This window comes from Homo sapiens, chromosome 6, assembly GCF_000001405.40.
Source record: "Homo sapiens chromosome 6, GRCh38.p14 Primary Assembly".
NCBI lineage: Eukaryota > Metazoa > Chordata > Mammalia > Primates > Hominidae > Homo > Homo sapiens.
This window is the reverse complement of record NC_000006.12, coordinates 15231502-15257590: the sequence shown is the minus strand read 5'-3', so window position 1 is coordinate 15257590 and position 26089 is coordinate 15231502. Positions and strand designations below refer to the sequence as shown.

The 26089-nt window shown below is 46.7% G+C and overlaps 1 protein-coding gene and 2 long non-coding RNA genes across 16 annotated transcripts in view, besides 12 other annotated features; 2 read left to right on the top strand and 1 right to left on the bottom strand.

Annotated features, from left to right (window-relative positions):
* The window catches only part of JARID2 (jumonji and AT-rich interaction domain containing 2), a 275974-nt gene extending 264452 nt beyond the window's left edge, over positions 1–11522 (bottom strand). For 8 of the 14 annotated variants that reach the window (XM_011514579.4, XM_017010833.3, XM_047418735.1 and 5 more), the window contains exon 1: positions 11007–11522. In XM_011514579.4, the coding sequence (XP_011512881.1) occupies positions 11007–11051 (45 nt within the window). In that variant the 5' untranslated portion in view covers positions 11052–11522. Of the gene's footprint in view, positions 1–8626; positions 8737–11006 lie in introns of those variants that run through there. The other 6 variants (XM_047418738.1, XM_047418741.1, XM_047418737.1 and 3 more) reach the window with 1 other exon arrangement.
* Positions 3074–3143: an enhancer, noted in NCBI's record as "active region_24066". NCBI's record gives its function as "activates an Ori minimal core promoter by ATAC-STARR-seq in GM12878 lymphoblastoid cells {active_cell/tissue: GM12878}" and the evidence as "EXISTENCE:reporter gene assay evidence [ECO:0000049][PMID:35858748]".
* Positions 5176–5951: an enhancer, noted in NCBI's record as "H3K4me1 hESC enhancer chr6:15251871-15252646 (GRCh37/hg19 assembly coordinates)". NCBI's record gives its function as "activates a minimal SCP1, AML or CMV promoter by ChIP-STARR-seq in naive H9 embryonic stem cells {active_cell/tissue: H9 hESC(naive)}" and the evidence as "EXISTENCE:reporter gene assay evidence [ECO:0000049][PMID:30033119]".
* Positions 7640–8481: an enhancer, noted in NCBI's record as "nonconserved acetylation island sequence 83". NCBI's record gives its function as "activates a minimal heat-shock promoter by reporter assays in Jurkat T cells {active_cell/tissue: Jurkat}" and the evidence as "EXISTENCE:reporter gene assay evidence [ECO:0000049][PMID:17135569]".
* Positions 8670–9149: a silencer, noted in NCBI's record as "silent region_16949". NCBI's record gives its function as "represses an Ori minimal core promoter by ATAC-STARR-seq in GM12878 lymphoblastoid cells {active_cell/tissue: GM12878}" and the evidence as "EXISTENCE:reporter gene assay evidence [ECO:0000049][PMID:35858748]".
* JARID2-AS1 (JARID2 antisense RNA 1) lies at positions 8895–9776 on the top strand. Its single transcript, NR_120502.1, has 2 exons — positions 8895–9081; positions 9447–9776. It is a non-coding gene; the product is annotated as a JARID2 antisense RNA 1 (long non-coding RNA).
* Positions 9270–9329: a silencer, noted in NCBI's record as "silent region_16948". NCBI's record gives its function as "represses an Ori minimal core promoter by ATAC-STARR-seq in GM12878 lymphoblastoid cells {active_cell/tissue: GM12878}" and the evidence as "EXISTENCE:reporter gene assay evidence [ECO:0000049][PMID:35858748]".
* Positions 11445–11544: an enhancer, noted in NCBI's record as "active region_24065". NCBI's record gives its function as "activates an Ori minimal core promoter by ATAC-STARR-seq in GM12878 lymphoblastoid cells {active_cell/tissue: GM12878}" and the evidence as "EXISTENCE:reporter gene assay evidence [ECO:0000049][PMID:35858748]".
* Positions 11655–11704: an enhancer, noted in NCBI's record as "active region_24064". NCBI's record gives its function as "activates an Ori minimal core promoter by ATAC-STARR-seq in GM12878 lymphoblastoid cells {active_cell/tissue: GM12878}" and the evidence as "EXISTENCE:reporter gene assay evidence [ECO:0000049][PMID:35858748]".
* Positions 12217–13668, top strand: JARID2-DT (JARID2 divergent transcript). Its single transcript, NR_187237.1, has one exon. It is a non-coding gene; the product is annotated as a JARID2 divergent transcript (long non-coding RNA).
* Positions 12315–12574: a silencer, noted in NCBI's record as "silent region_16947". NCBI's record gives its function as "represses an Ori minimal core promoter by ATAC-STARR-seq in GM12878 lymphoblastoid cells {active_cell/tissue: GM12878}" and the evidence as "EXISTENCE:reporter gene assay evidence [ECO:0000049][PMID:35858748]".
* Positions 12585–12894: a silencer, noted in NCBI's record as "silent region_16946". NCBI's record gives its function as "represses an Ori minimal core promoter by ATAC-STARR-seq in GM12878 lymphoblastoid cells {active_cell/tissue: GM12878}" and the evidence as "EXISTENCE:reporter gene assay evidence [ECO:0000049][PMID:35858748]".
* Positions 12894–13407: an enhancer, noted in NCBI's record as "NANOG-H3K27ac-H3K4me1 hESC enhancer chr6:15244415-15244928 (GRCh37/hg19 assembly coordinates)". NCBI's record gives its function as "activates a minimal SCP1, AML or CMV promoter by ChIP-STARR-seq in naive H9 embryonic stem cells {active_cell/tissue: H9 hESC(naive)}" and the evidence as "EXISTENCE:reporter gene assay evidence [ECO:0000049][PMID:30033119]".
* Positions 17763–18263: an enhancer, noted in NCBI's record as "H3K4me1 hESC enhancer chr6:15239559-15240059 (GRCh37/hg19 assembly coordinates)". NCBI's record gives its function as "activates a minimal SCP1, AML or CMV promoter by ChIP-STARR-seq in naive H9 embryonic stem cells {active_cell/tissue: H9 hESC(naive)}" and the evidence as "EXISTENCE:reporter gene assay evidence [ECO:0000049][PMID:30033119]".
* Positions 18264–18764: an enhancer, noted in NCBI's record as "H3K4me1 hESC enhancer chr6:15239058-15239558 (GRCh37/hg19 assembly coordinates)". NCBI's record gives its function as "activates a minimal SCP1, AML or CMV promoter by ChIP-STARR-seq in naive H9 embryonic stem cells {active_cell/tissue: H9 hESC(naive)}" and the evidence as "EXISTENCE:reporter gene assay evidence [ECO:0000049][PMID:30033119]".

Genomic DNA, 26089 nt, shown 5'->3' with positions numbered 1-26089 from the left:
GCAAAGCAGGCTGCATGCATCATTTTGTACAACAGCCCCAAATCTGTGAAAAACCCATCCCGAAGAGATGAGTCAAGAAAATAGTGGTAACTATCAACCAACGGCCTTGAAGCCATTAAAAATCACTGTCTTTGATTACCATGACAAGTTATAAATGCAAACAGGAGGTAACAAAAATACAGCACTTAAAGAGTATGGCCCATATATATAAAACTGTATGTGCAAGTAGAGGAATGTCCAGTATGTGATTTCAATGATTTCTATCTTTTGAGTACTTGTCTGATTTGAATCACTTCTTATTAAGCAAAAAAGGCCATCTGCACAACAGTAAAATGCTATTGGCTTAATTAGGTATGGGGATTACACGTGGATTTTATTTTTCCATGAAAATGAATCAATTACTGCAGTTACCATGAATAACTGAAAATCCCCCTGAAAAGAAAAGTATTTCCAAAGGCAGTAACAGAGAGGGCCTTCTACTGTATCAGGACCTGGATTTCATGCCCCAGCTGTGTCTGATAAAATATGCGACCACAAGCAGGTCACTTTACAACAGTACTAGAAACCTCAGGAATTCTCAACTATAAAATTATAGCGTCCAAAATTGTGATCAGTTAAGTCTATCTTTTTGCACTAGATTCATACCGATTCCCTCCCACTACTAAGTAGTACTCGAAATACTCCACCAAACTTGAACTCAAATATTCCTAGAATGTATACTATGTATTAGACATTAACATTGACCTACAATGACATAAATTCAGCCCCTACTCTTGTGGGGTTAATAGGGTGAGAGACATGTAAGCAAATAACTCCAGCACCTAAAAATAAAGTGCGAGGAGACCAGCCAACAGGGAGAAAGAGCCTGGCTCTGCCAGACGGGGTGAACAGGGTGACAGGCTTCAGACAAACACGGTGGGCTCCTCAGGCAATCCATTCACCAAGCAAGTAGAGGAATAAAATGCTGGGCTCAGCTGAAGCCCCGGATGTGTGAAGTGGATGGGTGGCAGGATAAGCCCAGAGTACATCAAGAAGGGCTGGGAACAAAGTTGGTTTAGATTCGATCCTGAGGACCAGAGAGCCACTAAAGAATTGTGTTCACATCATAATCAGATTTTTAATTTCAAGGACTATGTCTTCTTTAAACATCTTCGTGCACAGATTCAGTGCCACTCCAGTCTTAATTCTCAATCTATCCCTCTTTCCAATTCACCATCCAGGTGTATTTAGGAGTCAAGTGTTGGCTAATATAGGACAGAGGTAGAAGGTGATTACATCACCTTCTAATCCGTAAAGCCTTGTTCTGTTTCCCAATGTGCATCTGCTACTTGCTATCAGCTTGCTTTATTAAGAATCAAAGTGCAGAATTCATTTGATTCATTTATATCTGAGTCAGCTAGGAAGGCCGCCGGCAGGCCTGATGTCTCCAGGTTGGTGATTTCCAACTGGGTAATAATACCTTGAGCATTTGTGCAGCAGTATGCAGTTTACAAAGTGCTTTCACATCAAAAATTCCCCTGCCTCTCCCAGCAACAAGCCTGTGAAGTGCATGAAATAAGTTGTCCAGATGAGGAAATAGCTCAGCGAGGTTGTATAGCCTGCCTGGAGTCACACAGCCAGTTTAACACAAGGCCAAACTTGAAGTAGGCTCACATTCCCAACCTTGTCCATTACTGCAGAGGTACCCCATATATTCACAAGCCTGTCCAAATCTGAGGCATTTCATTACTTAGGTCCATTTAGTAGCAGTAATAAGGCATATACACAAAGCACAAAAGTCTGCTGCTTAACAGAATAAGCATTCACTCAGCCCCCTTCTGCAAACCTATAGAAGGACTAAATGCAAGAAACACATGCTCAGCCCTAATCCCTTCTCATTTCCTCCTGGCACCTGTTTCTGCCCCCACAGGCACCAAACACTCTAACAGCTGGCTGAAACCGAGAGAGAACCAACAGATAATACACTACCACTTCAGACCAAGCTCTCACCAAAATGGTGGCTGGGAAATAATGGAGACAGAACCACCAAGATTTTAAGAGATCAATAAACTGGGTGTCAGAAGATCTCCCACATTCTCCTGTCCCAGTAAACCAGGTCTCCAGGTAGACAAGAGTCACACAACCTATCCTTTTCACTCCTCCTCCTCACCTCCCCCGAAAAAAAGTTACTGTTAAGAATTCCTAATTGGGCCAGGCGCAGTGGCTCACGCCTGTAATCCCAGCACTTTGGGAGGCTGAGGCGGGCTGATCACAAGGTCAAGAGATAGAGACCATCCTGGCCAACAGGGTGAAACCCCGTCTCTACTAAAAATACAAAAATTAGCTGGGCATGGTCGTGTGTGCCTGTAGTCCCAGCTACTCGAGAGGATGAGGCAGGAAAATGAGATAGCGCCACTGTACTCCAGCCTGGCAACAAAGTGAGACTCGTCTCAAAAAAAAAAAAAAAAAAAAAGAATTCCTAGTTTACCAATGTGTATGACGGAAGACTCTTACTGGGAGTATGGAGGGGCAAAACTGTGGTTACACAGTGGTTGTTTTTGTGTGTTTTTGTGGTGTTTTTTTTTTGTTTTTTGTTTTGTTTTTTTTGGAGACAGAGTCTCACTCACCTCACTGCAACCTCCATCCTCCTCAAGTAATTCTCCTGCCTCGGCCTTCCAAGTAGCTGGGATTACAGGTGCCCACCACCACGCCTGGCTAACTTTTTTGCATTTTTAGTAGAGACGGAGTTTCACCATGTTGGCCAGGCTAGTCTAGAACTCCTGACCTGAAGTGATCCGCTCACCTCGGCCTTCGAAAGTGCTGGGATTACGGGCATGAGCCACCGCGCCCGGCCCTGTGGCTATGTATTTTGTTAACCTTCTAGGAGCATGGTAAATAAACACTGCTGTTGATAATATTTCAGTGTTCACTGGCCTTCCTCTTCATGGGTGGTGGAGCTTGACAGACTTACAAAATTAGAACTTAAAATCCAATTGAGACCTTTTAGGCAGCACCAGCTCTCAAGAATAGCTCTCAAAAACTTCTACCAGTAGGGTTCCTCTTTCTCTAACACCCGCATCTGTCCCATGATTATGTAAGTAATCATGTATAATGTTCCCATTACTCACACCGCCTCATTAACACATCTGGACAGCCTTTGTTTAATGGATGGCCCAGCCCCTAGTGAGGACTGAGGGCATATGATTTCCCCAGTGCTCCATGGTCCCCTAAGCCTCAAAGTCAGGGGCAATGATACAAGTACAAGAAAAAGTCAACAGCCCTGGGAAATCAAACTGGTTCCTGCAAGTCTGGAGAACTGCAGCCCACACTGGGCCTCAGATACACCCAAGAATGTGGTGGGGGCATTTGTAAAACTAGAAGAGCACAAACCATCCAGTCCCAAGGGACACGGGATGTCAGTCTTCCAATGATGACTCAAAGAGACAGCCAGCTGGGTATAAGGGGGTAGCTCCACCAACTGGTTCTTCAAAAAACAACAAATACAAACATGCAGGGAAGACGGACACTTCTGACAAAACTGCCCTCCCTTCCAACTTTCCCAAGCAAAAAGCCTCTCCAAAGGCTGCCAACAGTCCCTTTTACAACCTTTTCTTCTCCCCTTTTTGGGGCTCCACTGATCGTTCATGTTACTTCTATGTCCTCTGAACTCAAAAGGGGGGAGCAAATTCAGAAAACTAACCATCTGACTGGTTTTTCACCTTACTTGTCTCATCTATAAAATGGACTCAAAAACCCCTTTTCTCAGACAAACTCACAATGTAGGCGGTTATTTCAGAATTGACTGAGTCCTCTCTTCACAATCCCGTTAAGAGAAGTGGGTGTTGTGTCGTCATCTGGAGGTGTTTTCTATAATCCATGCTTTTCTGGGACATTTCTTCAAATGGAAAAAAGAACCCCAGTAGAGGTGGGCAGCACCCTTAAAATAGTAAAATCTGTGGCAAGACAAACTGTGGTACAAGTGTAAAAAAAAAACCAGAAACCCAGAGTGGTAGTCGAGCTGCCAGTCGCTGCTCACGCAGGAATGATCTATACTTTGCCCTCTGGAACAATCTGCGTGGGCTCTTTCCTACAGCCTAAGAGAGCAAGAAAGACAAAAGCCACCTGCAAGAAGTGACAGGAACAGGAAGTCCTGGAAACATGAGTCTTCCACCAAGAGCAAAATGACAGGTCAGCTCCACTTTCGATAATTTTATTCTGAATCAGAACTGCATTTTAAAAATCCTTATTTGGCCAGGCACGGTGGCTCACGCCTGTAATTCCAACACTTTGGGAGGCTGAGGTGGGCAGATCATGAGGTCAGGAGTTCAATACCAGCCTGGCCAACATAGTGAAACCCCGTCTTTACTAAAAATACAAAAATGAGCCGGGTGTGGTGGCACACGCTGGTTAGTCCCAGCTACTCGGGAGGCTGAGGCGGGAGAATAGCTTGAACCCAGGAGCTGGAGGCTGCAGTGAACAGAGACCACGCCACTGCACTCCAGCCTGGGTGAGAGAGAGAGACTCCTCTGTCTCAAAAAAAAAAATCCTTATTAAAAAAACCTGAAGCTGGCAGAAGGTTATAGGATTGTCTGAAGTCCCAAGAAAGATTAAAACCTAGAAGGATAATGAGAATAAAATCTCGCTCACTCTTCTTCTACAAAAATGTAGACAGATACCACGGAGTTCTCACCTCCTAGAATAAAAGATGCCTGCAAGGGTGAGGCAAGTATGGAAAAGGTTTATGGACAAAAGGAATCAGAAAAACAAAGACTGGGGGCCTGGAAAAGCAATTGAGGCTTGTCTTAGGGAGTCACAGGATATAAAGAGTACAGTTATCTGGAGGACGGAAAAAAAACGAAAGATAATTGAGCACATGAAAAAACAGATTCATTTGGTTTCATTTTTATTAACAGGTAAGGCTTAAGGATTTAAAATGGAACAGACCTTCCACAATATCTCATAAGTAAAACAATATATAATTAAAGTTGCCAGATTACAAGATAGAAGCTTCTGAACTCCATGAATTAGGTGCAAAATTACTAATCTTTCTGCTCCCTGCCACTCAGTAAATGGCACAATTATTTTAACTCCAAAAGTAATACAATCACCTCAGTAGGACTACTTTAAACTGATCCACACTTTACATGTTACATGGCATGAAGCAGACAGGGAGTCCAGTTTAGCATGCGGGGATTAAGGCTAAACACAGTTGGAAGCACTCTTATCAGAGATGACAAGAACCAGAAGTTGGTTAGTTAATGGGAACAAGTTTGTTAGATAACAAACAATTTTTAAAAAAAAAAGGTATTCCCTAACATTTTGTATTAACTGACAGACAAATCTACTTTTAATTACGGTTTTTTTGATATGAGGCCATGGGTCTTCTTTCTGAGCTTAAGTCTCTGAACGTTCTGTTGTTCTACATTATGCTGTTTTGATTGTTGGGGAAGTCTGGGCATAACTGAAGTTTGGTTCTTAAAAGGGAATCACTTGCAAAGCAATGTGTGTGGACAGTCCTTTCAGATTTTCCCAAACATCTTAAAAATGTCTGGCCCACATTTTTTTTTGAATGGAGTCTCACTCTTTTGCCCAGGCTGGAACGCAGTGGCAGGATCTCAGCTCACTGCAACCTCCGCCTCCCAGGTTCAAGCGGCTCACTGCAACCTCCGCCTCCCAGGTTCAAGCGGCTCACCGCAACCTCCGCCTCCTGGGTTCAAGTAATTCTGCTGCCTCAGCCTCCCGAGTAGCTGGGATTACAGGCATGCGCCACCATGCCCGGGTAATTTTTGTATTTTTAGTAGAGACGGGGTTTCACCATGTTGGTCAGGCTGGGCTTGAACTCCTGACCCTCATGATCCGCCCACCTCAGCCTCCCAAAGTGCTGGGATTACAGGCATGAGCCACCACGCTCTTTTTCACACTGTTTCAAGGTTGACATAATACTTAACTGTAATTACAATAATAAGCCCAACTGGAATAACCAGATTTGGGAACAAACAACTGACACTTGGCAAGACTTCTGGGTGAAAGCCAAAGGGGACAGAGGTACATCCCAGAGGTGGCCAGGACCTGTATCCTGGGATATCAGTCAGGACATACTGCAGCCAACAGGGCAAGCAGGATGGGTAGACAAAAGGTGGTTAGTAGAGCTGCTACTACTGTAATCCTGGGGGAGACGTGGACCAGTAACATCAGGATGATCAGAGCAATGCAGCCAGAATTCAGACAATGTCAGGAGTGTGAGTCCTCACACCATCATGAGCAAGGGCAAACCACTAGCTTAAAAATGTTCAGCTGGCTGGGTGCAGTGGCTCACGCCTGTAATCCCAGCACTTTGGGAGGCCAAGGCGGGCAGATCACCTGAGGTCAGGAGTTCAAGACCAGCTAGGCCAATATGGTGAAATGAAACTCCATCTCTACTAAAATACAAAAATTAGCCGGACATGATAGGGGGTGCCTGTAATCCCACCTACTCGGGAGGCTGAGACAGGAGAATCGATTGAACCCGGAAGACAGTGGTTGCAGTGAGGAACCACTGCGTTCCAGCCTGGGTGGCTGAGCAAGACCCTGTCTCAAAAAAAAAAGGAAACAAAAAAACAAATGCTCTCTAGGTTAGCCTTCACCAAGTGTTTTAACGAACTACGCTTTTAATATGACATTCTCGTGTCTTCTCTGAAAAAAAAAAAAAAGTTCCATTTTGAAGGTAACAGACACCAATTATATACTCCAAAAGATTGTCTTGTTCTGAAGGAGGAAAGTTTAACATTTGGAGTACGGTATATATTAACACTGGAGTTATTTCCAAGGCACTTGGAAGTGCGTCAATAGCCTTCAGCCCAGCAACAGGGACTGGTTTAACCCACTATGAGGAAACAGGCATTACCGAGTACCAAATAATTCTAGTTGTCTATTTGGGCCAGTGGCTACAGGGACACACAAGTTAGGTATTAGCCTACTGTAAAATAATATAACCTGGATAATAAACCAAGTTGGATTACTTGTCGACATAATTTTTCTTTCAAATTTTAGTGACACTTTGGACTTCATTGTGTCTTCCTTCCATACTGTCCCTGTACAGTGATAGGAGCTAAACTGCCACTGCCCTGCACCTAAGTAACACAGAGCAAGATTTTCCACTACTAGAAACAAGTAACTGAAAAGCCACGTAAACATCCCAGGAAAGAAAAAATACAGCAATAAAATAACGTGCAAATTTCCCCACCACCCCACCAACTGTAAAATAACGTGACTGAACAATTTGTGATGAATAAGTTTTAAAACAAAAAACCTCATAAATCCAACCACTGTATATTTTGTGTTCTTCCTACTTTTTTCTTTGTAATTTTACGTAGTTGTAATTATAGTAAATCCTTTTGAAGCTTATAACAAAAACTTTTTCCAATTTTTAAATCATACACTTTCAAATCAGAAAATTAGATACTTAAAACTTACAGCCTAGTGGTACAAATTCTGCTTGAGCTGTCCTAGAAAATCAAACTGGCAATTTGTTTTCATGCTAACTACAGGAATTACTATCTTCATAAGGCAGAGATTCTCTATTTCAAACTGATACCTGATCAAATAGTGGTGAAGCCCCAGTATCCTATCTGTTATTCTCCCTAGGAATAACCAGGCAGTGGAATGATGGAAACGGCAGAAAATATCTCTAGAGCAAAACATGCAACTGTTTTTATTGTCCAAGTCGATTGGGGCTTTCAAAGGCAAATGTTTTCAGTTATTTAAGGTATTGCAGTGGGAGTCGTGCTCAACACAATTAAGACAGGATTACACTGCAACTTATGAGTTTCTCAAGGACATCATTTATTACGAAATATAACAATCATTTCTCCCAAAGCCTACTATCGACAATCGCACCCCCAACTCTGCTTTGCTAAGGTAATAAACTAAATGGCAACTCAGCAGGCATCCCGGGCTTTTGAGACCAATTGTGGGAAACGTGCTGCCTTCCACCAGCTCAAGTAATAATGCCACCTTACTTATAAAGAGGCATACTGTTTTACATCTTCCATGCACATGATCTTTTCAGTGACTTAGTTAAGTGGCAATGGCAGGTATTTTTCCATTTTACAAAAGAGAAAACAGAACGCCAGCCTCTGGTTTCCCTGCTCAGAAGAACTAAGCCCAGAGCACCTTGAGACTTAAAGGAGTCCTGTGCTCTTCTCAGTACATTTATCAATGACAAGTCTTCCTTTGGTCCAGCCCCCCAAAATAACAGTCAGTAGGTACAGAGCCGGCACAGCAAAGGAAAGCCCCCCCACCGTAGTACCACAAAGCTTCCAGAAAGAGCAACAGTTGCTGCTGTGCAGCATCATCATGAAAGGCATCCGGCCACATCCTGCTGAAGCACCCCTAACACGACTTCAAGTGACAAGGTGGCCAAATCCACAACGCGGTCCTCCAACAAAGCACAGCTTTCCCTGAATACTTTCATTTCTTTACATAAGCACTGGAGAGGGGACACATGCACCACGCTAGTAATGCAACACCATCAGGAGACCTGGAACAGAGGAAGTGAAAACATTCCTGCAGAAAGGAGGCGCCTCCTCCCCGCTCCCCGCTTCCCAAGTGGCATCAGAACAGGGTCCAGTGGCACTCCTTTGGGGACCTACGGCTCCCCGGCCCTCACCTGGTGGGAAGCGCGACGCTCCGGAGCGGAAGGCAGAGGCCGAGCGCATCTTCCTCCTCTTCCTCCTCCCACGCCGCAGCCCGGCTCTGCGGCAGCCCCCGCCCCCGCCCAGCTCCCTCCTCCCCCCGCCGCCCCGCCGCGCCTGGAGCCTCCCGCCCGACTTTTGACGTCACGGAGGAGGAGGGGAAGGTTCCACCCGAGCCCGTCCCTTTGTGACGTCACAATGACAACAGAGTGCGGCCGGGAGCGTCGGGGAACCGAGCGCCGCGGGGGGCGGAGGGAGGGAAGAAGGGCTGGGGCGCCGGCGCGCGGCGGGGGAAGAACCGGGGGGCGGAGAGGGGGCGCGCTGACGTCTCGCCGGCTTAACCTGTTGCTCTCGAGACTGCGTCGGAGCCCGCAGGCAGGGCCGCGGGAAGCCGGCCGGGCCGCCGCCGCCATGCTCGGCCGTGTGCGCGGTGGGGGGCGCCCGCTGCAGCTGTGCGCCGCGCGCCCCCTCCCCGGCACGCCCACGCCCCCGCCCCCGCTCCCACCCCCTCCCCGCGCGCTCTCCCCTCCCCGCGCCCCGCAGGCCGCGCCACCCCCGCGCCCCACCCGCCCTCCTGCCCGCCTGCAAGCCGGCCCGGGTAGACCGGTGCCCGCCTCGCGCGCCCGCCTAGAGCCCGGAGTATGCCCCCTATAGGCCGCGCGCGCGCGCCCGCCCGCCCAGCCCCGGCCCAGCCTGCCGCGACCCCCGCGGGCCGTCCCTTTCGCAGCCGGCTCGAGGACGTCGGGAACACCGGCTCTGCTCCCGGTGCATTAACTCGTGCCGTGCCTCCCGCAGCCGCCGCCAGCCACGGGCTTGCAGCCGGACGCCCGGACTCGGAGACACGATCCGCTGAACGCCCGCAATAAGAAAGAAAACCCACCCCACGCTGCTCTCCACCTCAACGAGGTCCGGAATGGGAGGCGGGGTGCGGTTCTCGTCCAAGTTCTACCCCATTTGCTTTGTGGCTGCATCCGAAACGGACGTGCCCCGGGAAGGCGTCCACGCTCCAAGACAAGGTTGCCTCAGTGCAGTTTCTACAGCCCGAGTTTAAACTAGTCCTTTGCATTCTACCCAGCCCTCTGCAATGCGGATGTATTTTAATTCTTAAATTCTTTATGGAACAGCTTTCTAAGTTGGGCTTGATTATTTAACCTTGCATTTCTTTCATAGTTGAAGTTGACGTGTCTAGATAAGGATCAGCTCTCTTGAAGAGGCATTCAGCTTTTCCATTAAATATATTTTTTTACAAAACCAGTGCCCCGAAGGTCATCTCTCATTACACACACCACAATGATCAAAAAGGGAAAATATTAACACCAATTTGTCTACCCAACTTAAATAAACTTTCCTCTTACGTTGCATTATTCCTAAGGTATGTTCATTTGGCCTTTTTTGAAAAAAAAAAAGAGTTATTTAATTTAAAGCATGCAGCTAATCACAGATCACTCGAGTGCATATTTGGTTAATCCCTCGGTCCCCCTTTCCTCCCTCCCCTCAAACTTAAAAAAAAAAAAAAGCCACCACACACAAAACAAAAACACTCCCCATGCCAATCAAAACGTAGCTGTACTATGCACAAAACAAATTTAACTATTCCAAGCCATTTAAATCTAGGAATAATCACCCAATTTCAGAAGCCCAGTTAACAGGGAGAAATTATTTGTAGTTACTTACATATGCATTCACGTACACACTTAAAAACATTAGCCATAGTGTGTGTCCTTTTCCCCTACAACTGGAAACCATGAATTTTTTAAACAAAACCAGCCTCATTATTAAAGTCAATCCCAACAAATGCATTCGCTGTAACATGATTCCCAACTGGTTTATGTTGCAAACCAGATAAGCCAAAACGACCACAGACATTAAATTTGATGTGCCAGTGCAAAGAGAAGATCGCCATAATCGGACCCTCGATCGCAACTTAAAGGGCTTCCAACACACATGCGTTACACGATTTTTCCAAATAACATTAATAATAATAACACAGGCTCATTTGCATGCAAAGTGCAATACGGGGCCAAATCCGCTTGAGAATGCAGTTTAGTTACATTACCGCAGCCACCCCCCACCTCAAGCTCCACCAAAATCCCTTGCCTTTCATCTAAAAGTAGATTATGGTTGTGTCATTCGAGGTCAATTTATTCACTTGAGGTATCTCTACACCAGTCTGTTTTTTCAACCAAACTAGGCAGACACCACTTTGCTTGAAAAGCCCTCTTTCAGAAAAAAAAGAAACAGCCTTATCGGACGCTGTGTTTAAAACCCTTCAGAGGCAGAATTATCTATAAACTTGACATTCACAGCCATTGCTTAAAACTGCAAGTCAAAGGATGTGTTGTTAGGAGCACTTACGTATTTCTTCTGAATGATATTCCTCTTGGGTCTTTCCTTGCTCATTCTGAGATCCAAATGCTGATTGCAAAAGGGGACAATTGCTTCATGAATTTAAAGCCGTCAGAAATTTGCAAAAAAATATCCTGGTGGTTTTTATTGTTGTTGGTGGTGGTTGATCTTGTAATCCGACTTTTCTTCCTCTTCCCCCAAAGCCAGATTCGCCTTGAAATAAATCCGAAATTGGGAAGGAAAAAAAAAGAGCCAAAGACGAACGAAGCAAACAAAAAAAAATTCACTTTAGTAAAACACTCATAATGGAAAATTTCCCCCGAAACACATACACACACACACAAAAAAAAACCGACGCCCTTCACTCCCCCCCCTTTTTCCTCCAAAAACTACATCAGCGAAACGTGAAGGTCCTTAGTGTCTGATCCGTAGTTACATCTTGGAAAAGAAAAGGGAAAGATAAATAAAAAATGTTGGAAGTCACGTTTGTGCTGCAGCAGCAGTGCGAGCAGAAGAGTCAACTCCAGCGGCGGCGGCGGCGGCGGCGGCAGCACCACAGCGAGGGCTCGCCGAGTCTCTTTTTTCCAAGCCCCCTAACCAATGAGAGAGAGGCTATCCAGCCCAACTTTAAATGGACTCTGCTTTTATACAAGTTAGGGCTCCTCGGATAATTCCCCGCCGGGCGCCAGCCGAAAACTCCCACCGCTCAGCCGCCAGGCGCCCGCTTAGCCTGGTGCCGACCGCCCCTGGCCCAGTCCAGGGCACCCCCGCAGCCTGGCCAACCAGACACCCGAGCGACCTCGACGAACCCCTCCCAGGCAAGCCCTCGGGCGTCGCTCCCACGCCGAGCCCAGGCGTGGAATTGAGAGAGGCTCCCTAGCTCAATGCATGGCACGCTCCGTCGCTCCACCTCACCCCCTTTCCCCTGCCTGCCGCTCACCCCACGGCCGCCCCACGCCAGCCCCCGCCACTGCCTTCGCGTCTACCTGCAGCCGGGCTGCTGGGTAGGAGTGCCCCAGGACGCCCGGCCCCGGGGAGAGCCGCCTATTCCCGGGGCACCTTAGAATGGTCCCCTTGATCTTCTGGAAGTTGTAGTCCCCCGACTACAAAATGGCTATGGCCACGGAAGCTGGGAACTACAATTCCCAGCCTGCCCCGCAAAGCCTGTCACTCAACTCCCCTCCCTCCTCCTCGCCCCCTCCCCCTCACTGGCCGTGCCAACAAACGCTTGGACGTGTCCCGCGTGCGACACTGCTAGAGGCTGGCTCGGGATTGGCCCGCGGAGCGTGTGGTCCGCGAGCGAGGAACTCCCCACGCCGGCCCTCCTCCGCCCCCCGGGCCCCGGCCCCCCTCCCCTGGCGGCCGCCAGCCCCCTCCCCGCGCGCCCCGCCCCCACCCGCGGCGCGAACCGCCTGTGGAATCGAGGAATCGCGCGCGTGCGGCCCGGAGCCGCGGGGGAGGGACGCGAGGCTTCCCCGGGGAAGGCCTCGGAGCGTGGCGGTGAGGGGGGCGGTGTCAGGGAGGGGTTGGAGCCCGTCCTAAGGAAAACTGGGCCACGCACCAAGAGGAATCCTCGGTGCGAACTAGTTGATCGGCGGCGCCTGCTGCTTGTGCCGTGCAGCCGGTGTCACCTCAGGACAGCGCCTCGCGTCTGTGTACAGAGCGTGCTGCGGGCGCCTAGGGTAGTCCGAGGTCACCCCTCTCCGCGCCCCGCAGTCGCGCACGCCCCCACGCGCGGGGTGGGCGGTGGCCGGGGGTCGCCGAGTGGAAAGGCCACGCCCCCCCACGCCCGGGCTCGGCACGCTGCCCCTGGGTCGCGAACGCGCCTCCGCTCGACCCGCTTGGAGGACGTCGCTGGTGGCCCAGGAGTGAAGCCCCGGCGGCTGCCTCCTGAGAAAAGATAGCCGTGTTTAAAGAGACTGAACGGGATCTTTGCTTTGCCGGGCGTATTTTGTGATAAAATACCACAAAATGTTGAGACAAAAATGAGTGGAATATGGAGACCGAGCCGCACAGACACGCAATTGTAAGGAAACATCTCGAACACCGAGTGCCAGGAATATCAACTGTCCGGGCCACGCAAGAGCCTGCTTTTTACCTGCCTCCAGCCCCCTGTCGTGCTGGTTTAATCGCTGAAACAAATGAAGTAGCAGGCCCTGGCATAGCGCTTTGGGCCTTCGCCTTATTAACAACTTTGTCAAGTCTCGCATCGCGATTCTGCCTTGTTAATTTCCTTGTTTTTCGCTGTGGTTTTGGAGAAGCAATGTTTTCCATGATCTCTCAGGCTAGCCTCGGAATAAAACGTGGCAGAAGCGCTCCCGCGAACACATACCCATATATTTTATTCTACCTATTCCCTAGAGTCTGCTAACTTCAAAAGTCTAGATACTCACACAGCTGTTTACTTGCAGCAGTATTTGAAGAGATAACCTTGGTGTCTAGAAAGGTCTCAGAAACTGGAGGTAAGAGACCTGGATTCAAATCGCGCCTTGGCCACTTCCCAAAAGGCAACCGAGAGCCTCTCTGAGCTTGTCAGTTTCCGCATCTGCAAATTAGTGGTGATCAAACCTGTGGGGATGATTATGTGATAAATAACAGTAACCTAGTTTAAAACTAGGCACGTTATTGGAAGCTTTCAGTAAACGAAATAAAAAGCCTTTTCGAGAGGGTATTTTCCTTATTATTTTTACCTTTTCAAAAAATCTGAAATGAAATAATTTTATCTAATGTTCACTTCACAATTGGAAAAATAAATGATCTTTTGTGCCCTGAATACTGCAAAACTTGTACGCTGGTGCCATTTCCTGGGAAGGATCCAATGGGGCAGACTACAGTAGGGCCACCCAAGGTGTTTTCTAAAAACTTTCTGATCATTAGGACTGGCATACTGGGAATCTCCACGTCTCCACGTTGTTAAGATTTTAACCAGCTTTCTGTAAGTTTAACGCAGATACCTCATTCCCTAGGCAAATATTAATGAACAAAGGTGAGTTTCTTTTCTGTTCCCCTAACTAGCCCTGGGGCCTGGACTTCTCAGTCCTGGGCTTGCGAACTCCCCTGCCAGGCTACCAGCTCCAGGTCACCTGGTGTGAAAAACTATTGTGTAAAGTTGAGGCCTCAGGGCAGAGGGGAAAGGAAGGAATTTGCTCATTTCCAAAAGATTTGAATAATATTAGTGTTGTTTTCCCTGAAAGAGAAAAAAGGTTGGCCTTCTTAGTGGTTGAAAGATTTTCCTGTTGTGAAAGTAACCTACTCCTAATGAACTTCCTTCCCCTACCATCTTGGCAAGACCATCCAAGGCTTTTCTTGCTCCTTCCTCCTCTTTTTCATTTTCTGTAAGTCAAATGCAGCTTTTCTTATGATGATTTTCACATCTCAAAGCCTTGACCTCTTCAATTGGAGGGGCAGGGATGAGAACATGTCTAGGTACATTGATTGTATTAGACTCTATGCCAGCACTGTCCTCATCCCTGAGGACACAGGAAGCTCACAGCTCAGTAAAAAAAAAAAAAAAAAAAAGGCAGAGTTTACAATGGATTGTGATACCTCCAAAAAGTACTATATCAGCAATGTAGAAAAGAAGCTAAAAAGAACACATTGCTGAGATGACTAGGTGTTAAGGAGTTTTGAAGTAGGTGTAGGGGTTCACATACATACTTAAAGAAGTGCATATTTCACCCCTTTGCATTGCATCCTATTTGTTTACATTCTCCACTTTTAATGTTTCTAGTTCTTCTCTCCAAGTAAAAAGGAAATTCCCTAAAGAGATGATGTTGTCTACTTCTCATACCCTCCAAAGCTCCAAAAACTTCATCAAATTTGAAAGATGTCCAGTAAATGCTTACTGTTGAATATTTCACCAAAACTATAATGCCCAACTATTTAGACTATTGCCCAACATTTAGTCTCCTACCATCATCTTCCATTCCATTCTGGAACTCTGCTAGTTTTCCTCTTGCATTATCTAAATCCAATGTAGTGTTATACGTTCTTCAAGGCCCCAAATTCAGGCCCATTTCCAATCCAGCCTCGCTGCTTGGCCTACTCATTCCTGGATTCTCATTGCCCTTCCTATTTTGGCAATAATTTTTGAGCTTTAAAATTTTATTCTGAGGCCGAATGTGGTGACTCACATCTGTAATCCCAGCACTTTGGAAGGCCGAGGCAAAAGGATCACTTGAGCTCTGGAGTTTGAGACCAGCCTGGGTAACATGGTGAAACCCTATCTCTACCAAAAAAAAAAAAAAAATTAGCTGGACGTGGTGGCCCAGGCATGGTAGTGTGCACCTGTAGTCCCAGTTACTTGGGAGGCTTAGGTGGGAGGATGGCTTGAGCGGGAGGCTGAGGTTGCAGTGAGCTGACATTGCACCATTACACTCCAACCTGGGTGACAGAGAAAGACCCTGTCAAAAACAAACAAAAAAAAATTGTTCTCTGTTGTATTTTTTTCTGATTATGTCATGTAAGTATCTTGTATCTCTTAATTGAAAATTGGATGGGGCCATGATTTGTCTCATATTGAGGCAGCCATTGGCAATGAGGGAATCAGATGTTTCTAATATTAAGTCTCTGAGTGACCATATGCCATTCACCTGCCTCATATAGGCCTTGGGTCTGTCATTTATAAAATGAGCAGGTTAGGCTGGGTGTGGTGGTTCACACCTCTAATCCTAGCACTTTGGAAAGCCAAAGCGGAAGGATTGCTTGAGCCCAAGAGCTCAAGACCAGCCTGGGTAACATAGCCAGACACCATCTCTACAAACATAAAATTAAAAATTAGAGGGTTAAATTCAGTTATTTCCCAAAGACATTTCTACACCCAACATTCTCTAGTCCTACCTTTACCTTTGTATTATGCTGCTTTTCCCCCTCAGTGCTGGCCCCTAAGTAAACTCAAATCCACAATCATTCAGTAAAAGTTGCTAGGTTAAGTTTCTTTACACTTGTATGTTATTAATTTCCAAAAAGACCTCATATTTATCCGAGCTATCTAATGATAGCTTTCATTTGTATAACTTTAATAGTGTTTAAAGCACACTGTCATAATAATTTCATTTAAACCATAAAACAACTTAGATCAAGACAGGTATTACTGTCCTCACTCTTCAAATGTGAAAATGAAATATTAAGAGGTTGTGATTTGCTCAAAGTCATACAACCAGTTGAGTGGATGAGCCAAGGGTCAAACTCAGGACTCTCGGCTCCACATACCCAGTGCAGGCCACCTCCCTGGTTTTCCAAAATGGGATTCAAGACATATGATTCCATGAAATGTTACTAGGTGGGACTGAAAAGAAAATAATTCTTCGATGAAATAAATTTGCAGACTGCTACCTTATAATAAAGATAACTCGATTACTTTACTGTAGGGTTTTTAGAAATCCCCAAAGGGGCATGTAGTTTTACAAACTAATTTGATCACAGAAATCTTTTTTTAAGAAAGAGCTGGACCTGGCCAGGCACGGTGGTTCACGCCTGTAATCCCAGCAATTTGGGAGGCCGAGGTGGGTGGATCACCTAAGGTTGGGAGTTCCAGACCAGCTTGACCAACATGGAGAAACCCTGTCTCTACTAAAAATACAAAATTAGCTGGGCGTGGTGGCACATGCCTGTAATCCCAGCTACTCTGGAGGCTGAGGCACGAGAATCGCTTGAATCCGGGAGGTGGAGGTTGCGGTGAGCCGAGATCCTGCCATTGCACTCCAGCCTGGGCAACAAGAGCAAAACTCTGTCTCAAAAAAGAAAGAAAGAAAGAGCTGGGCCGGGTGTGGTGGCTCACACCTGTAATCCCAGCACTTTGGGAGGCAGAGGCGGGCAGATCATGCAGTCAGGAGTTCGAGACCAGCCTGGCCAAGACGGTGAGACCCCGTCTCTACTAAAAATACAAAAAATTAGCTGGGTATAGTGGTGCACGCCTGTAATCCCAGCTACTCAGGAGGCTCAGGCAGGAGAATCGCTTGAACCTGGGAGGTGGAGGTTGCAGTGAGCCGAGATCATGCACTCCATCCAACCTGGGCAACAGAGCGAGACTCTGTCTCGAAAAATAAAAAAATTTAAAAAAACAGACCTTTTAAGTCCAGCCCCCAGCCCTCATTGCTTTTCCTAAATTGCCTCAGAACACCAAGGAAAAAAAAAGAAGAAGAAAGAGCTGGTTACCACGGAACAGTTTTACAGACATGCTTCACCCAATATGATGAATTTATGCTTCATAAATGATTGCTGACTGACAATAATTCCTACCTAAGTGACTGAATACCTTATGTGAAGTTTCTAATTTTATATAGGTCTATCTTCATATGTGAGGGAGTAAGGAGAGGGATGTAAAAATAATATTTGAGTGACATCAGGTTTATAAATAACTATGAACCAGTGTACTCAGAAGGTGGGGGCTTCCATTGAAAGAACATAGAACAGCTATTTCGAGCCAACTGAGATTTGCAAGAGTATTTTAAAACACACTAGGAGGTAAACTCAGATGTAAACAGCCCTCTTAAGAGTGAGTGATGTCAAGGAGACATTAGTTCTTTTTGTTATTCAGTGCTTCCTGTCCCCAAATTACAGTCTTATTTGTCAAGCCTCAATAAAATGCCACAGCACAAACCAAATACAATAAAATGATGCTTTCAACCCTACTGGTCGTCTGTGGACCTTGTTTATACAAGTCACTGAAAGTCGCTGGTACTTTGGATTGTGTAAAAATTTTGGACTATCATTACTATTCTGCTTAGATTGTCTTGTGTTATTGAAAGAGAGCTGGCCCTGATTCAGAAACTCTGGTAAAGCAGCCAAGACGGGAAACCTGCAGTTCCTAAGAATAGACGTTACTGTTTATAATAATACTGCACTCTGTGTTTGGTGGGAAAAATCAACTTTATCAGTGATCAACTAATCCACAGGGGATCAGTATGAGGAAACTGAGGTATAGGGATTACAGGGATCCTGTGAGTAGGCAGGGAAAGGGGGAGGAGCTGTATGAATCAGGATGCCTTCAGTTGCAGGTGAATGGAGCCCAGATGAAAATGGCTTATGGAAAAAAAGGAAGAGGGGCTTGGCTCACCTATCTGGAAACCCAGAGTCCGAGTTTCAGGGCTACAAAGGATGTCATCGTCCTTCCTTCATTCCTTCATTCTCTTTTTCTCTCCATTCATCTCAGCATTTCCTTCTTCTGTCATCCTCTCCAACCAGCAGAGATGATAGCGCCAAAGAAAACTCCTTTGCGGCCAGGCACAGTGGCTCATGCCTGTAATCCCAACACTTTGGGAGGCCGAGGCGGGCGGATCACTTGAGCCCAGGAGTTCGACACCAGCCTGGTCAACAGGGCAAAACCCCTCTCTACTAAAAATACAAAAATTAGCCTGGCATGGTGGCACGTGCCTGTAATCCCAGTTACTGAGGAGGCTGAGGTGGGAGGATCGCTTAGCCCAGGAGACAGAGGTTGCATGGAGCCGAGATCCCGCCACTGCACTCCAGCCTGGGCAACAGAACGAGACTGTTTCAAAAAACAAAAAAGAAAACTCCTTTCCCACCATGGACATGGCGGGTAGAGCAGATTTTGTTATCCAAAGGGGAGGGAGACAAACACTCCAGGGAGCAAAAAAGAAAAAAAAAAAAAAAAAATATATATATATATATATATATAGTCTACCACAGAAGCTACTAGTTCTTCCCTCTGTCAGGGCCACAGAAGTGAGCAGGAAAGGAGAAAATAACCTTTTCACCATCAGAATCCTAGAGATTCATTGGATGATAGACCAGTCCAGCTCAGTCTAGAGCTACTCTCTCATTTACCCCACCTTGCACACTTCAAGGTTTTCACAGACATGATCCCTGCCTAAATACTGGTTGATCTACGTATCAAACACTTTTGCCCATAGTTTCTTATCTATGAATCTATAGAATTTTCTAAACAAAAACAGAGCTTATCTCTTGCCAAATTGGGACATCTACAATTTATATTCTGTTTTCTGAAATCTCAGTGTTTCCAAAACCCAAGATTCACTCACACCTTACAGAAACCCAGTGCCATCTCCCTTTCCGATCCTACACACAGACACATAGAGTGAAACAGAAAAGATTCAAACATTGGCAGTTACATTGTGACTGAAACTTAGTGGATTATTAATTTCCTGCTTTTGGTCTTTCTCTCAATTGTCAAACATTCATTTTAAAAAAAAAATATTTTGGCCAGGCACGATGGCTCATGCCTGTAATCCCAATACTTTGGGAGGCCGAGGCGGGTGGATCACGAGGTTAGGAGATTGAGACCATCCTGGCCAACGTGGTGAAACCCCGTCTCTACTAAAAATACAAAAAGTAGCTGGATGTGGCGGCATGTGCCTGTAATCCCAGCTACTCAGGAGGCTGAGGCAGGAGAATCTCTTGAACCCAGGAGACTGAGGTTGCAGTGAGCTGAGATCACACCACTGCACTCCAGCCTGGGCAACAGAGTGAGACTCCGTCTCAAAAAAAAAAAGTGTTTTGGCCAGCCTCGGTGGCTTATGCTTATAATCCTAGCACTTTGGGAGGCCGAAGCAGGCAGATCATCTGAGGTCAGGAGTTCGAGACCAACCTGACCAACATGGAGAAACCCCGTCTCTACTTAAAAATACAAAATTAGCCGGACGTGTTGGCGCATGCCTGTAATCCCAGCTACTTGGGAAGCTGAGGCAGGAGGACAGCTTGAACCCGGGAGGCAGAGGTTTTGGTGAGCCGAGATCGTGCCGTTGCGCTCCAGCCTGGGCAACAAGAGCGAAACTCCGTCTCAAAAAAAGAAAAAAAAAAAAAAAGACAGTGTTTTTATGTGTCCATGTGTACACGATTACGAAATTGAGGGTTCTCAAACAGTGTATGTTACCTAGAAAACTTTAGGCATTTATGATTCTAAACAAATACAAAGAGGAAAACTATAAAATCAATGTGGTTATTTAATACAATATGGCTACTGGGAAGATTATACTGGAAATCTAGACACTTGAGGTTTCATCTCAGCTTTTTGTGATGTCACTATGCCTCATTTTCTTCATTTGTGAAAAAAGGGGATTGACCTAGATGGACTCTAACACTCTTCCAAATCTAATAGATTATGACTGTGATATTATTTTATGTGTGTGATATTATTTTATGTGTGTATTAGTCTCCACCCCCCAAGGCTCAAGTGATCCTCCTACCTCAGCCTCCCAAGTAGCTGGGACTAGAGGTGTGCGCCATCACACCCAGCTACTTTTTGTATTTTTTGTAGAGATAAGGTTTCTACATGTTGGCCAGCCTGGTCTTGAACTCCTGAGCTCGAGCTCAAGGGATTCACTGGCCTTGGCCTCCCAAAGTGCTAGGATTACAGGTCTCAGCCACCTCGCCAGGCCTATTCCCATAGCCTTTGTTATAATCTCTTGTTATAATGTTGGGCTTGCTAGGTCTCAGGGACAGGCCTCAGGAAACAGTTGCTCTCTGACTTTCTCCTGCCTATTTTTTTTTTTTTTTTTTGAGATGGAGTTTCACTCTTGTTGCCCAGGCTAGAGCGCAATGGCTCCAAATCTTGGCTCACCACAACCTCCGCCTCCTGGGTTCAACCGATTCTCCTGCCTCAGCTTCCCAAGTAGCTGGATTACAGCCATGTGCTACCATGCCCGGCTAATTTTGTATTTTTAGTAGAGACGGGGTTTCTCCATTTTGGTCAGCCTGGTCTCGAACTCTCGAACTCTCGACCTCAGGTGATCCGCCCGCCTCAGCCTCCCGAAGTGCTGGGATTACAGGTGTGAACCACCGTGCCCGGCTTCTCCTGCCCTTCTTTCACCTGCCCCAGTGCAAGACACTAATCTGCTTTTCTTTTTTCTTTTTACTTTTTTGAGACAAGGTCTCACTCAGTTGCCCAGGCTGGAGTGTAGTTGTGTAATCATAGCTCCCTGTGGCCTGAAACTCCTGAGTTCAAGCAATCCTCCGGCCTTGGCCTCCCGAAATGCTAGGATTACTGGCATGAGCCACCTCGCCAGGGCTTCCCCCACCCCTCATCTTTCGGATTCTGGGTCTTAAAGGGTCCACCATATATACCCTAGGGGAAGGAATGCTGGATTCATGAAGCTTCCATAAAAATCCAAGAGGGTCCTGGCAAAGTGGCTTACACCTATAATCTCAACACTCCGGTAGACCTAGGCGGGAGGATCGCTTGAGGCCAGGAGTTTGAAACTAGCCCGGGCAACAGAGCAAGACCCAGTCTCTCAAAAAAAAAAAAAAAAAATTAGTCCGGGAGCAGTGGCTTATGCCTGTAATCATAACACTTTGGGAAGCCGAGGAAGGTAGATCACCTGAGGTCAGGAGTTCAAGACCAGCCTGGCCAACACGATGAAACCCCATCTCTACTAAAAATAAAAATACAAAAATTAGCCAGGCATGGTGGCTGGCACTATAATCCCAGCTACTCAGGAAGCTGAGGCAGGAGAATCACTTGAACCTGGGGGACACAGGTTGCAGGGAGCGGAGATTGTGCCATTGCACTCCAGCCTGGGTGACAGAGCGAAAGTCACTCTCAAAAAAAAAAAGAAATTAGCTAGGTGTGGTGGCGAGTACCTGTAGTACCAGCTACTTGGGAGGCTGAGGTAGGAGGATCACTTGAACTCAGAAGGTCAAGGCTGCAGTGCACTGTGATAGTGTCACTGAACTCCAGCCTGGGGGACAGAGAGAGGAGACCTTATCTCAGAAAATTTAAAAAACAAAACAAAACAAGAGGACTGGGTTCAGGGAGCTTCCATATAGCTGACCAAGTGGAGGTTCCTGGAGAGTGGCACACTGGGGAGTGCACGGATGCTCCACCCTCTCCGCCATGCCTTGCCCCACACATTTCTTCATCTGCATCCTTTGTAGTATCCTTTATAATAAGCTAGTAAATGTAAGTAATTGTTTCCCCGAGTTCTGTGAGCCCCTCTAGCAAATTAATCAAACCCAAGAGAGCGTCATGGGAACCCCACCCAACTCAAAGCTGGTTGGTCAGAAGTTCCACAGGCCCGGACTTACAAATGGTGTTGGGGATGAGTCTTGGGGACTGAGCCTTCAACCTGTGGGATCTGAGGCTATCCCCAGGTGGATAGTGTTGGAATTGAATCAAAGGACTCTCAGCTGGTGTCTGCTTCTTGGTGTATAGGGAAAACCTCCATTCATTTGGTCCCAGAAAACTTCTGTGTTGATGATTATTGTGGTGGTATGTGAGTAGGGGAAAAACAGTTTCCAAATTTTTCCCCAAATAATGACTATATTCAAAACATTTACAGCCTGGCACGGTGGCTCATGCCTGCAGTCCCAGCATTTTGGAAGGCCAAGGCAGGCATATCACCTGAGGTCAAGAGTTCGAGACCAGCCTGGCCAACATGGCGAAACTTCGTCTCTACTAAAAACACAAAAATTTGGACGTGCGCTGTGGCTCACGTAATCCCAGCACTTTCGGAGGCTGAGGCGGGCGGATCGTGAGGTCAGGAGATCGAGACCATCCTGGCTAACACGGTGAAACCCCATCTCTACTAAAAATACAAAAAAAAAATTAGCCGGGTGTGGTGGCGGGTGCCTGTAACCCCCGCTGCTCGGGAGGCTGAGGCAGGAGAATCACTTGGACCCGCGAGGCAGAGGTTGAAGTGAGCCCGTGATTGTGCCACTGCACTCCAGCCTGGATGACAGAGTGAGACTCCGTCTCAAAAAAAAAAAAAAAACACACACAAAAAAACAAAAATCAGTCGGGTGTGGTGGTACACACCTTTAGTCCCAGCTACCTGGAAGGCTGAGGCAGCAGAATCACTTGAACCCAGAAGGCAGATGTTGCAGTGAGCTGAGAACATACCATTGTACTCTAGCCTGGGCAACAGACAAAACAAAAAACAAAAAACAAAAACCTCCATCTCAAAAAAAAAAAAAAAGTATTAAACTTAGCCAGGCACAAAGGCACAATAGTCACAGCTACTTGGGAGCTGAGGCAGGAGGACTGATCAGTTGAGTCCAGAACTTTGAGGTTGCAGTGAGCTATGATCGCACCACTGCACTCCAGCCTGGGCAACAGAGCAAGACCCTAGCTCTAAAAAAACAAAAAAAGAAACCTCAAAAGAGACAGCCAGACAGACAGATATAAATAGGACACACATTGGTCACAGTTATGCTTTTGGCACTCTGAGTGTTTGAATTGATATTTTTGAAGGTGAGACCAGGGGCCCAGTTGATAGAGTTTGTATCTCCAAAGCATCCTTTGACCCAAAACAGGTAACCTGGAATTCTCTTATCCTAGAAGGCAAGAAAAACCAGAAGGAAGGAGCCACATTTTTGGAAGTTACTATAGAGCAGATCCTTGGAGATTGGAGATTTCGCAAGTCATGTCAGTATGCCTGGGACTGTCCCAGATTTTCCCAGGCCTCAGATGTAAGGGTCATATTCACATTACTTCTACTCTACATCTCCCCACTTACCCAGCAAAGTACCTGTCCCATAGGAGATAAATGCTTGTTAAATAAGTAAATGGGCCAGACCAGGTGGCTCATGCCTATAATCCCAGCACTTTGGGAGGCCAAGGTGGGAGAATCACTTGAAACCCGGAGTTCAAGACCAGCCTGGGTGCCGGGCGCAGTGGCTCACACCTGTAATCCCAGCACTTTGGGAGTCTGAGGCAGGCAGATCACCTGAGGTCAGGAGTTCTAGAGCAGCCTGACCAACATGGAGAAACCCCGTCTCTACTGAAAATACAAAATTAGCTGGGTGTGGTGGCGCATGCCTGTAATCCCAGCTACTCCGGAGGCTGAGGTAGGAGAATTGATAGAATCCAGGAGGCGGAGGTTGCGGTGAGCTGAGATCGCGCCACTGCACTCCAGCCTGGGCAACAAGAGCAAAATTCTGTCTCAAAAAAAAAAAAAAAAAAAAAAACAAACAAACAAACAAAAAAAACCAGCCTGGGCAATGTAGTGAGGCCCCATGTCTTAAAAAAAAAAAAAAAAAAAAAAGTCCAGGTGCAGTGGCTCATGCCTGTAATCCCAGCACTATGGGGTGCTGAGGTGGGTGGATCATGAGGTCAGGAGTTCAAGACCAGCCTGGCCAAGATGGTGAAACCCCATCTCTACTAAAAATATAAAAATTAGCTGGGCATGGTGGCGGGCACCTGTAATCCCAGCTACTCCAGAGGCTGAGGCAGAGAATTGCTTGAACCTGGGAGGCGGAGGTTGCAGTGAACCGACATCATGCAGCACTGCACTCCAGCCTGGGCAACAGAGTGAGACTACATCTCAAAAAAAATAAATTAAGCAGGCTTGGTGGCTCATGCCTATAGTCCCAGCTATTCACGGAGCTAAGGTGGAAGGATCACCTGAGCCTAGAAAGTCAAGGCTGCAGTGAGCCACAATCATGCCATTACACTCCAGCCTGGATGACAGAGCAAGACCCTGTCTCAAAAAATAAATACATACATACATAAATACATAAATTGACATGTGATACTGCCATTTACCATTTTGTTCAAAAATCATTCTCTGCATCTGAGGTACCCTTTCAAATAGGCCAGCTACCAGCAAGGAGTTGCAATTATTGAGGAAGTGAAAATGGTTAACAAGTGGCATTTAAAATATCTCTATTTGGCTTTCCAGCCAGAACTCTTTGTGTGAACTATCCAAAGCGGATATAAAATACTTTTATGTTAGCCAGGCATGGCAGCATACACCCGTAGTTCTAGCTATTCAGGAGGTTGCACCAGAGGGTCCCTTGAGCCCAAGAGTTCGAATCCAGCCTCAGCAACAGACCCTAAAAAAACAAAAACTTGTTGGCCAGGCACAGTGGCTCACGCCTGTAATCCCAGCGCTTTAGGAGGCCTAGGTGGGCAGATCACGAGGTCAGGAGATGGAGACGATCCTGGCTAACATGGTGAAACCCTGCCTCTCCTAAAGATACAAAAAATTAGCTGGGCATGGTGGCATGCACCTGTAGTCCCAGCTACTCGGGAGGCTGAGGCAAGAGAATCCCTTGAACCCAGGAGGCGGAGGTATCAGTGAACTGAGATCACGCCACTCCACTCCAGCCTGGGTGACATAGTAAGACTCTGTCTCAAAAAAAAAAAAAATTATTTTTTGTAGAAACAGGTCTTGCTATATTGTCCAGGCTGGTCTCGAACTCCTGGGCTCAAACAGTCCTCTCACGTTGGCATCCCAAAGTTGGAGGATGGCAGACCTGAGCCACCATGCCCAGCTTTTCAAACATTTTCAATACAAAATGTGAATCTAAAATTCAAGATGAGGATAGATATATTCAGCTGACAAATGATACCTGTCTTCTGCTGTTGGATTGAATTGTTCCCCCCAAAAATTCGTATGTTGAAGTCATAGTCCCCAGTACCTCAGAATATGACTGACTTTGGAAATAGAGTCTGTAAAGAGGTAATTAAGTTAAAATGAGGTCATATGGGTGAGCTTCAACCTGAGATGACTGGTGTCCTTATAAGAGGAGTCGATTGAGTGCGGTGGCTCACATCTCTAATCTCAATGCTTTGGGAGGCAGACTGGGGAGGATCGCTTGAGCCCAGCAGTTTGAGACCAACCTAGGCAAATAGTGAGACCCCAATCTGTACAAAAAAATTAAAAATTAGCCCCACATGGCCGGGCGCGGTGGCTCATGCCTATAATCCCAGCACTTTGGGAGGCTGAGGCGGGTGGATTGCCTGAGCTCAGGAGTTCAAGACCAGCCTGATCAACATAGAGAAACGCTGTCTCTACTAAAAATACAAAATTAGCCAGATGTGGCAGCAGGTGCCTGTAAGGCAGCAGGTGCTGAGGCAGGAGAATTGCTTGAACCCGGGAGGTGGAGGTTGCTGTGAGCGGAGATTGTGCCCTTGCACTCCAGCCTGGGCAACAAGAGCAAAACTCTGTCTCAAAATAAAAAATTAACTCTACATTACAGTTGGCACACGCCTGTAATCCCAGCTACTTGGGAGGCTGAGGTGGAAGGATCGCTTGAGCCCAGAAGTGCAAGGCTGTAGTGAGCCATGATCACACCACTACACTCCAGCTTTGCTGTGACAGTGAGACCCTGTGTCCAAAAAAAAAAAAAAGGCCGGGCGCGGTGGCTCAAGCCTATAATTCCAGCACTTT